The 12,175-nt window shown below is 37.6% G+C and overlaps 2 long non-coding RNA genes across 6 annotated transcripts in view; one reads left to right on the top strand and one right to left on the bottom strand.

Annotated features, from left to right (window-relative positions):
• LOC105375751 (uncharacterized) overlaps positions 1-12,175 on the bottom strand; it is a 463,156-nt gene that overhangs the window by 241,480 nt on the left and 209,501 nt on the right. The gene's annotated exons all lie outside the window — the stretch shown is intronic.
• The window catches only part of LOC105375753 (uncharacterized), an 80,166-nt gene that overhangs the window by 67,409 nt on the left and 582 nt on the right, over positions 1-12,175 (top strand). For both annotated transcript variants that reach the window (XR_928636.3, XR_928638.3), the window contains exons 3-4: positions 10,097-10,152; positions 10,662-10,718. This is a non-coding gene — a long non-coding RNA (uncharacterized LOC105375753). The remainder of the gene's footprint in view (positions 1-10,096; positions 10,153-10,661; positions 10,719-12,175) is intronic.

Here is a 12,175-nt window from a genome sequence, read left to right as displayed (position 1 = left end):
AAGCATGACACTCTTCAGTTTTGATAATGTTATACTTGTAAGAATTAAAGAAAGAGGAAAGAAACATGAAAGGTGGCTCACTAGTCAAGACAGGTTTATTTTAGAGAAAACAAACTTGAGAGGAGCTTCTGGCCGAGTTAGATAAGAGGCCCACTCTCTTATAGACTAAGAGTTTTTAAGGATACAGGGTGGGAGAGTTTATCAGAGGCTTGGACTGCTTCTGTGTCTTTCTGTTGTGCTTATCTGGGAGGGAGAGTTGTGTGTTTGTTCCCATACATTTTTCTGCAGTTACAGGCATACCCCTAAATCTGCTTTTAGCTTCCCTATCTTAGCGCACCTAAAGAAAAAGGAATGTGCTTATTAAGGCCCACTGTTTTACTGGGGCGTATTGTATGAGGGTGAAGTTTGGCAGTTACCCAGGAGACTTACCCCAACCTCCCTCTGTGCCCGAGCTGTCTTATCTGTGTTTTACTGTCTGCTCTTTCTGGCTGCTTGTAGTTAGAGGAGAAAGGATTTTCTTAAAATGCATGAAACTACAAAGGGAGCTGGAACTTAAAGTGGCAGTGTTTGTCCAAGATGACGGTGCTTCTGCTCTGTCAATACTGTTTTCCAAAATGATTCTACACTTTAACTTCCAAATCTGTGTATGAGAGATCCTGTTGTTCCACAATCTCACCAACAATTAGCTACTGTCTCCCTTTTAATTTTAATATTCTAATGAGTGTTTAGTGACATGTCATTTTGGTTTCAATTTCCATTACTTGATTACTGATGAGGATTAACACTTTTACATGTTTATTGGCTGCAGAAGTTTTCTTTCACATGTGGCTGACTAAAAAATTTTGTCCACATTCCTAAAGCTGTGTGTTCTCATTATTTGATAACTCTATCAAATAATTTTTATAGATTATGTTACATTTACCTGTACATTTATTCTTTTTGATGTTATTATTCATTCTTGCATTTCAGAGCTTCCATATAACATATCTTCTTTCTGCACTGAAGAACTGTTCTTAGCGTTTGTATTGGTGCAAATTCTGCTGGTGATACATTTCCTTCATTTTTGCTTCTTTGAAAAGATCTTAAATTTACATTAATTCTTGGAGGGACGTTTTTCCTAAGTATGTTTTTGTGTTTGTTATTTTGTTTTTGTTTCTTCTTTTTTTTGAGATAGAGTCTCACTCTGTTACCCAGGCTGGAGTGCAGCGGTGCCATCTCAGCTCACTGCAACCTCTGCCTCCTGGGTTCAAGCAATTCTCCTGCCTCAGCCTCCTGAATAGCTGGGATTACAGGCATACACCACCATGCCCATATAATTTTTGTATTTTTAGTAGAGATGGGGTTTTACTATTTGTCCAGGCTGGTCTTGAACCCCTGACCTCAGGTGATCTGCCCTCCTTGGCCTCCCAAAGTGCTAGGATTACAGGCGTGAGCCACCACACCCAGTGCTAAGTATGGTATTTTAGATTGGCTATCCTTTTCTTTCAGTACTTTGAAGATATTATTCCTTCATATTCTGCTTTCTTTGTTTCTCTGATAAATAGGCTGTATTATTGCTGGTTATCTGAAGCTAATATGTCTTCCCTCACTTCACTTTTTTTTTTTTTTTTTACCAAGACTTCCAGCACTGCACTGTTTTGATTACTACAGCTCTATAATAAACCTTGTATCTGATAAAACAGATTCTTTCACTTCTGTAACCATATTCATTCTTCTTTTTTTTTTATTATACTTTAAGTTTTAGGGTACATGTGCACATTGTGCAGGTTAGTTACATATGTATACATGTGCCATGCTGGTGCGCTGCACCCACTAACTCGTCATCTAGCATTAGGTATATCTCCCAATGCTATCCCTCCCCCCTCCCCCACCCCACCACAGTCCCCAGAGTGTGATATTCCCCTTCCTGTGTCCATGTGATCTCATTGTTCAATTCCCACCTATGAGTGAGAATATGCGGTGTTTGGTTTTTTGTTCTTGCGATAGTTTACTGAGAATGATGATTTCCAATTTCATCCATGTCCCTACAAAGGACATGAACTCATCATTTTTTATGGCTGCTCATCATCACTGGCCATCAGAGAAATGCAAATCAAAACCACAATGAGATACCATCTCACACCAGTTAGAATGGCAATCATTAAAACGTCAGGAAACAACAGGTGCTGGAGAGGATGTGGAGAAATAGGAACACTTTTACACTGTTGGTGGGACGGTAAACTAGTTCAACCATTGTGGAAGTCAGTGTGGCGATTCCTCAGGGATCTAGAACTAGAAGTACCATTTGACCCAGCCATCCCATTACTGGGTATATACCCAAAGGACTATAATTCATGCTGCTATAAAGACACATGCACACGTATGTTTACTGCGGCATTATTCACAATAGCAAAGACTTGGAACCAACCCAAATGTCCAACAATGATAGACTGGATTAAGAAAATGTTTTTAAGATTTTAATTTTTGCCCTTAGTTTTTAGCAGTCATGTTATCATGGTCCTAGGTGTGGTTTGCTTTATATTAATCTTGCATGAGATTTAGACATTTCCTCAATCTGTAATTTATTTTGTCATTTTAAGAAAATTCTTATTGTTTTTTGGCCCTTCCCCTCCCTCTTCTTTCCTTCTGGGTCTCCAATTATATGTGCATTTAAGACTTTTTTGCTAGCTTCTCTATGTATGCTACACATTTTTCTGGATTTTTCATTCTTTTGTCTTTACATGCTTTATTTTGGATATAATAAAATATAATATAACTTTGGGGGTTATCCTCTAGTTAACTAATTCTACTTCTGGCTTCGTCTAATCTGCTCTTTAACTCTTTAACACATAACACATTAAGTTATTTATAGTTACTATATATTTTCATGTCTACAATTTTGATTTGGTTTCTTTTTATAGTTTTCAAGTCCCTGTCAAAATTATCAATCCTATATTTACATTCTTAAACATATTTAACAGAGTTGTTTATTTGTTTTATCTATGTCTGACAGCTTTATTATATTTGTCACCTCTGCATCCATTTTTGTTGTTCATTTTTTCTCTTGATTTTATATCATGTGATTTTACTCCATAAAATCCTGTTAATTTTCTATTGAGCACTGAATTGTCTAAATAAAAATATATTCAAAAATTCAGCCTTAGGAGATTTACTTTCTTCTAGAGAAGGCATAAACCTAGAGGATCAACTCAGAAATAATTTAATCTAGTATCAGTTATTAAATAACTCAAAACTCGGCTTCAATCCCTTTGCAGGTTGATCTGTTGACCTTTATTCATAGGATGTAGCCTGTATGGTCATATTCTAAGACCTGAATGGAGTACTACACATCATTAACAAGTACTGAAATCACATTTTTTGTTTGTTTGTTTGTTTACTCTACAAACCCATGAGGCTGTTGAAATCTCATTTCAGCTTCCCTACCCCTAATCTGCCTTTTGACAAACTGGGAGGATTTTAGAAAGAAAAATGGCTCTAAAGGCCAAAACTATCTCTCAAGATTTTGTTATATTATTTAATGTTGGCTGTTTAATTCTTTATCTCCTTATTGGCCCTAAAATTCATTCAAATAAATGTGCAAATACTTTTGGTTTTAAACATTTTGCCCATTTTTTAAAATATTTTTTTCAACAGAAGGTTAGTCTGAATTTCATAGTCTGCCATTCAGGAAGCAGAATTTCTGACTTTTCCTCCTATTTTTTCTATTTTGGGCAATTATTTTAATTGTGCTATTGCAGTGTTTTCCGTTTCTTAGCCATCTTTTACTTCACTAATTTGCATATTTTCATCTCATCCTACTATCTTTTCTGCTAACCAGTTCTTCCTTATGGGACTCTGCCTTTGTTTCAGAGAGGCAAGATTTTCTCACATCTTGCTGAAAATACCAGGCTGTTTTCTCAAATATCCATAAGGTTTTTATTCTTCTGAGTTTTCAGGATAATGTTCCCTTTCTTTTATCTAAAAATTTGTCCCCCGATTTATTCAAATTGGTCTTTCTGGGTTTTTTTTGTTAGAAGTTCTTTCAGACTTATTGACAGAGTTTATAGATCACTATTAATAGGTTCTGTCAGCTACAGTGGTCAGCTATAGACAGGTCTATAGCTGAGTGGCAGGTTTATTTGTACAACTCTTAGACCAATTATCAAGCAGCTGTCATTGAATAGGTTTGAACTGGGCTAAAATGTTATTTTCTTTGAAGATATAAAACAGCAAACATCATAAGCCCCAGTATATGTACTCTATCACAGTTCTTCCTGTTTCTGCCTTTCCCCTCCTACTCATAGTACCACCTGGGAGGATTTTCCCTCTAGTATGCAGCACTACAGAGTGTTTGTGTGTGTGTTTAAGATACTCCAACCTTGACAATTTTTTTTGTTTTTGTTTTTTTGAGACAGTCTTTCTCTGTCGTCCAGGCTGGAGTGCAGTGGCACCATCTTGGTTCACTGCAACCTCCGCCTCCCAGGTTTAAGCGATCCTCCTTCCTCAGCCTCCCGAGTGGCTAGGACTATAGGCACATGCCACCAAGCCCAGCTAATTGTTTAAATATTTTTCAAAAAGACAGGGTTTCACCATGTTGACCAGGCTGGTCTCAAACTCCTGACCTCAGCTTATCTGCCTGCCTTGGGCTCCCAAAGTGCTAGATTACAGGCATGAGCCACTGCGCCTTGCCGACAATTTTATTAACTTCTAAGCCCCATATTCCTCATCAGTACAATGGGGGTAATAATATAACTGCTTTTGTAGGACCATTAATTGAGATAATCAATGTAAATTTATTAGCATAGTGTTGACTTAAATAAATGTTAGCTATTATCAGCAGCAGTAAGAAGTAGTACCAACATTACTGCCATTAATTTGCTGTAACCTGCCTATCAGCCTTATTCTAATCTGCTGCATTCAGATAGAGATGATTTGATGAGAACATTGGTGTTTGGGGAGTGGAGCAGTTTGTTGGCTCTTTGCAAAGCAGTATTCATTGCAGTAAAGAGATCGACATTAAATTTTCTGATAGGTGTAGTTTTATATGCGTGTTAAGCACTGGACGATGGAGGAAGTATTAGGCAGTCTCATACATCTGTGGGTATCAAATACATAGTAAAAATGAGTGCAGTAGGCCAAGTGTAATTAAAAGGGCTGATAGAAACTGTGGCAAATCTTAGCGTGCCTGGTATTTTGTAGGTAGCCATACTTTAGTTCCAGTTAATTGATATTGTGTTGAAATGTGGGTTGAGTGATTTCTCCAGATGATGGTCATTGAGATTTTTAAGTGAAGTAGGCTTTCATATTTATGTGAATGCATTTTTAAAAGATCTTGGAGATCAATCAAAATCTGTATGAGCTGCATGTGGCCCATGTTCTGTGCCTTTATGACCTCTAACCTATAAGATAATGCCCACATCTTATCAATAGCATCTCATGACCTGTGCTATGGTTTAAATGCATTTGTCCTTCAAAATTCATATGTTAAAACTTAAACTCCAATGTGATAGTATTAAGAGGTGAGGCCTTCAGGTGGTGATAAAGTCATGAGGGCAAAGCTTTTATGGGTGGGATGAGTGCCCTTATAAAAGGGCTAGAGGAAACTACCTCGGCCTTTGTGCCCTTCTGCCATGTGAGGATACAGTAACATGGCACTATCTTGGAAGCAGGGAGCAACCCTCACCAGATGTCGGTTCTGCTGGTACTTTGACTGTCCAACCTCTAGAACTGTAAGGAATATACTTCTGTCCTAATAAATCACCCGGTCTCAGGCATTTTGTTACAGCAGCAGGAACTGACTAAGGCAACCTAACTTCAGAAATCCACTTCAGAGTTATCTTTCACCTCTTGTTGACTTTTTGTTTATACTTTGTTAATGTCAAAGTGCTTTAAAGATTCCTCTCACTGTCTTCTAAGCCCCTGGTATGTCATAATGACCCTAAATAGTTTTCATATTATTCTGGGCATACAGACATAATTGTACATGAAGCACAGTTCTAAGACATCTGTTTTTCATTGTCCCCCTTCAACCATTAATTTCTTGAAGCTGAAACCCATGTCCTCTCCATCTCTTCCCTCAGTGACTGACACGCGGTTGGCTCTCAGATAACATGTGTTGAAATACACTGAATTTATTGAAAGGAATGTGGTAACTGTTATGATCAGTTTTTGTACAAGGACAGATGGGGCATAGAGGGCATGAAAGCAAACACTCATCATGTATCCTTCTCTTTACTCATCATTTTTATGTCTGAAGAACCAAAGATTTGTAAGACCCCCAAAGGCAAAATGTGCTTGAGGCATTTCCAGTAGGATTATTTCGCTGTATTATACCATTCAAATAGCAATGACAAGATTGGCATAATAGTAACCGTAACTATAATTTATTTAAGTGGTTGTGAAACAATGTTCTTTACTAAGCAGTTTATAGAAAATAAGTTTTTAATCTTCATGCCAGCTATATAAGGCACATATTGTTATTGTGCCCATTTACCAGATAAATACTTTGAGGCTTACAGAGATTTCTTATGATACTACAACTAGAAACAGGTGGTTCCAGTACCCAAACCCAGGTCTAACTCCTCACCCCTTTATTCCACCTCACCAGTGACCAGCAACATCAGTGACCTCTGGATGATTTTCTCTCCTAACAAACTTGAACCCAGAAAGAATCCACACTTTTTTGCGTTTTTTTCCATAACAGTTTTAAAAAGGTAAAGGACCAGAACAAGATCAGAGGCACTCTGGATAAAAAATACTGCATTTCATGGCTCAGATTGTGCCTCTAAGCATGCTTTCAGTATACAGATCCTTTTAGAAAAAGAGGCACTCTAATGAATGGACTGGTTTTTGAGAAATCACTTCTCTCTGCCTGAGAATAGAGGACAAAGCAAGGACCCTGGAGTCATGTATTCTTGAGTTCAAATCCCCACACTGTCACTTTGTGACCTTCTATGAATTGACTATATTCTTTCAGGTTTATTTGCCTTATATATGAAATAGAAATGATAATGCTCTGCTGGACTCACAGGTTTATTATGAAAATCAAATGACAAACTGTGTGGGAAAGAGCTTTTGAAACTGTAGAGCACCATACACACAGAAAGAATGGTTATTATTCTGCTGAAATGGCATTCCCCAAACCATTTTTTATGAAAGTAGAAATTTGGGGCAGGGGCTAGGGATGCACTGTGTGTAGTGGCCCTGCTTTGATAACCGTATAGTAGTTTAAGTAGTCAGCAAATCAGTGGAAACCAGGCTATCAAAGCTAGACATATACATTATATTATATAGACTTCCGCTTTGCCAGGGACTTAAAATCTCACCTTGTAATAAAGCAATACAGATTTTGTTGAAATGCACATCAATGAGCAATAAAAAGCAAGAAGGAAACAACAAAAAAAGATATTGGTCACAAAAGCAGACCTCTATGGAGATGGAGGGAAGAAATCCATTGTGCTTTTTATTAATACATAGCTCCTACCCAAATTCATCTTTATAAGAACCTCAAGCCAAGTAGACATGATTTTCATCATACTTATGTCCATACAATAGAGAGGAAATTTCCACTCAACTGTCAAGTGATGCTAAGGAAAGCAGGCTGAGATTTCTCTTTCCCTCGGGCATTATGTGTATCAAACCCACAATCTCTGATTTAAAGCTATCCTTTGCATGACAATCTGTTTTATAAAACAAAACCAATATCCCTTACTCTCCCATGTTCCTTTTACTGGGAAATAAACAACTCATTTGTTATCAATTTATTTATCATAGATTTACTCTGGGAGAATGCCCTGGGAATTTGGGTCTCGGTGCTACTGAATTAGCAGATGTGATTTCGATAGTATTTCACAGCAGGAGAGAGCCTGTCTCACGAAGAACCCCCTTGCTGTCTATTAATTAACAACTAGTGGATGGTTCTATGCAATAAAGAAGCCAGTAGATAATTGAGAAACACACCAGTAGGTGACAGAATATGCTCATTAAGAAAGAGAAAGGCAATTTGAAATATTTAAAAGAGAATAATAATGGTAATAATGATTATACTAATAATGATAATAAAAATAAGTACTTATTGAATACTTATCGGGCACCGTTCTAAGCATTCACATACATCATTTAATTCTCACAACAACCTGTGAGGTATGCCATATTATTATCTTGATTGTACAAATGAAGAAACTGAGGCAGAAAGAGGTTAAGGAAATCCCCAAAGCTTGACAACTGCAAAGAGGCAGAGAACCTACAAAGTTTAATTTAAAAGGAATCATATGGCTGGGCGTGGTGGCTCATATCTGTAATCCCAAAATTTTGGGAAGCCAAGGCAGGAGGGTCATTTGAGACTCTCAAAACCAGCCTGGGTAACGGGTAACATAGTGAGACCCCATCTCTACAAAAAAATAAAATAAATTAGCTGGGTATGGTGACAAGCACCTGTAGTTCCAGCTACTCAGGAGGCTGAGGCACAAGGATCCCTTGAGCCCAGGAGTTCGAGGTTGCAGTGAGCAATGATCACATCACTCATCACTATACTCCAGCCTAAACAGTAGAGTGAGACTCTGCCTTAAGAAAAGAAATTATTCTTTTTCCTTCAAATAATCTCCTGATGTTACCAGCCTTTGTTTGGCATAAAGACACAGAAATAAAGAAAACATTATTCTTGACTTCCAACAGCTACTCTCTAACTAAGACACTGTCTTGCTTTTGTTGACCTGATTCTATTTTCTAGGTCACAAGCTCGTGTTTCACTCACTGACCACCTTCCACTTCCTGGGTCATAGTTCTAATTTTATTTTACTGACCTACTTCAACTTCCTAGATCAATAACTTATCTGCATTCACTGACCTTGTTCTACTTCCTGGGTCATTAACTCACATCTCGCTGACCTTGATTTTGCTCCTTGGTTCTCCTTAATAGAATATGGACATATTTGGACCTCAAAAATAAAGATGCAAAAACATGAAATATTACCTTCATGGTTGTTGCTTTGTAAGCAATACCAAGAACGGAGGAAGCTTTTGTCTGTTTGAAATCTTTTTATCCTTAAAGTAAAAAAGCATTAGGGAACCCAGAATTTAGACTGAGGCCACAAAGAGTCTTTTGAGACTTATTTTCTCTGAAGATAAGAAAAACGTGTTACAACTGTGAATTCAGATCCTGCAACTGTCACAGTGCAAGCAGTTCGGCCTAAAAAGAGTAAATCCAGAATACCCCTCTAGGTCTTTCTTTTTTTAAATTGAGATTTCCATATATGAGCCTTTTTCCTTTAATAATAAATAAATAAGACACTTCTGTGTCTTATTAGCTTCTGCCTATTAATTCTCTGAATTTAAGACAGACATGCAATACAAGAGTGGTAAAAGCAGCAAAAGTAATGTTTTGTTTAAAAAAATTATGGAATTCAGGTCAGCATTAAAAAAGCATAAGCTGTTAATGACACTCTTACCAGACACTGCTGGGTAGCTGAGACTCAAGATCAGAAACACGTAGGTCACATACCAGCTCAGCTCTTTGAGCCTTAGTTTCCCCTCCATAAATGAGGAAAAAAGTACAAAACTCTCAGTAACTCAAGTACAAAAATATATATGAATACTTATATATATATTCATATATATGAATCTTATATATAATTATATATAATTTTTATTGCATATTTTATTATTTATATATTTTATTATATATTACTTTATTATATATTATATATTTTTTACTTTATTATATACTATATATTCATATAGATATATGAATAGCTAATTTTTACTGACAGCTTACTAGGTGCCAGCACTGTGCTAAGGTTTTAAGGTATGTACATCAACTGAGGTCTCAAACTGGAAGCGCATGACATGTTTGTTTTGTATGTTGGCATGTTTTTTAACCACTAGCTGTTCCATTATTTTAAAATTAGTTGTCATCATTTTAAAATGGGGGAATTTTACCATGTATTTTTGCCATTTTTGCCTTTCTGATTGCTTTTTCTTTTTTTAATGGCAAAGCTGAGTAATAAATACCTATGTTAGGTTAGACACATGCTCTGCAGTTTCCTCCAGGTCCCACTCTGCCCTGTTACATGGCACATAGCTCATGTCACCAATGATACTATCTTCTTGTCCCCTATAGACTTTTGAGTTTGCCACATCTGCGTCACAACTTAATTCTTGAAAAGGCCGTATAAAGTAAGTATTACCTTTTGTTGGAACATATAAATAAAATCTATTTTTAAAATAAGTTTTTCAACTCATGCTAGTTAACTTTCTCCTTCACTTTTTATCTGAAAAATTTGGTTGGGTTTCAACGTGGATGGGAAGGCTTAGTCTTAAAAGTTTAATTAAATACAGCTGAAAAGAGAGGCTCTTTGGGGGAAGCTTTCATTCGAAGAAACATAAACTGGTATTCAAAGGAAATTCAAATGCAAACATAAATCCACCAAATGTCCACTCCCGCTGTTAAAGGTAGATGAGACGCATCATTATCTGATTTCAACCAAAGGGCTTATTAAGGTGAAAATGTTTTAAGAATTACAATAAGTTTTGAGCTGGAATTTGGTTACTGCCAAAAGAATTGCAGGTTCTAAGAAAAAAGCATGGGGACTAATTTTGGAGATGGATTGTAAATTATTTATGGAACCTTTGAAAAAGGTCGGCTTCACCAGGGCCCTCTGAGAAATGCAATACTGCTATTCCAGATGCTGCTTCCTCAGGATGCCTGCTCTTTATCAGCATCCCTGTCTCCATGGTGATAGGTAAGTGCTCATCCCTCCATCTCCCTCCCCAGCCTCTACCACCCGCAGCAAACCTTAACAGGATGAAGAGCCCTCTGGGGGCCATGCACTGCAGCTTCAAGACATAAACAACTCCATGGGTGGTTGCCGTGGCCGTTCTTCATCCCCATTCTGTTTACCCCAAGGTACAATGGCAACGCACTTAAGTGCATCGAAACAAGAACTGATACATTTCAATAAATCACTCCAGCCAGGTGGTCACCAAGCTAGTGTTCTGAGAAGCTGGGGTTACAAGGCAACCTTGCCCATCATTCATCATTAGAAACAATGCCAATCTTGGAGTCCATCTTGGACATGGAGTGCTTCTCCAGTTTTATACAGGGAATGAAAAGAATGAAAAGAATGCCAGGAAAATTCAGATTTGGATTCAGGCAAACCTAGGGCTGATGTCTGCTTCCTTTACTTAGTAGTTGTGGGGACCTGGTCAAATCAGTTTGCCTATCTGAACAAAGGTTTGCTCATGTGTAAAACACAAGTAATACTACATACTTCAAAATTGTTTTCAATATGAAAGGAAGTTTATATATGGATAGTGACCAACATGTAATGGCAATAATAATTGGTAATATTTTTATGATGGGAGGGGATCTATAATGGGAGATCTTTGTAGAATGGTGGATAGTCATTAAATAATAAAAGATAAGATCTTCCAAGTAAATCCCATTTCATTTCTCTCCTCCACCCAAGTATGTAACATACACATGTGACTAGTAGCAACTTGTACTCAAGATCTGCCTGCAGCTAGTGTAGGCATACACTACCCGTGTGGTTCACAGTTTAGTTCCTCCATCAGGTACTCTACTGAAGTCTAGTATGCATTCTCTTCCATAGAGTGGACATCTTGCCCCCATACCCTCAATAATATCAGTGTATCTCTTCAAGTTTAGAAATTGTGTTGAATACAGATGTGAGAATCGGCTTGGATTCACTCTCCTCCAAAGAAAATACATGTCATTTTCAGAATCAAGCTAGTCTTAGTCTTCCTGTCAATGCTTCATCACCAACTGTATTAGTCCATTCTTGCACTACTATAAAGAACCACCTGAGACTGGGTAATTTATAAAGAAAAGAGGTTTAATTGGCTCACGTTCCACAGACTGTACAGGAAGCATGGGGAGGCCTCAGGAAATGTTCAATCATGGCAGAAGGGAAAGGAGGAGCAGTACCTCTCACAGCCTGAGCAGGAGGAAGTTGGGGGCAGGGGCTGCACAACTAGATCTCGAGAAAACTCACTCACTATTGCCACAACAATGCCAAGGGGGATGGTATTAAACCACGAGAAACCAGCCCCGTGATCCACACCGCCCACTAGGCCACACTTCCAACAATGGGGATTACAATTCAACACAAGATTTGGGTGGGGACAGAGATCCAAACCATATCACCACAGTTCTTTATTTTCCTGATCCTAGAATTTG

This window comes from Homo sapiens, chromosome 8 (genome assembly GCF_000001405.40).
Source record: "Homo sapiens chromosome 8, GRCh38.p14 Primary Assembly".
NCBI classification, from domain to species: domain Eukaryota; kingdom Metazoa; phylum Chordata; class Mammalia; order Primates; family Hominidae; genus Homo; species Homo sapiens.
Note: the sequence above shows the minus strand (reverse complement) of the source record. Positions and strands in the feature narration are given on the sequence as shown.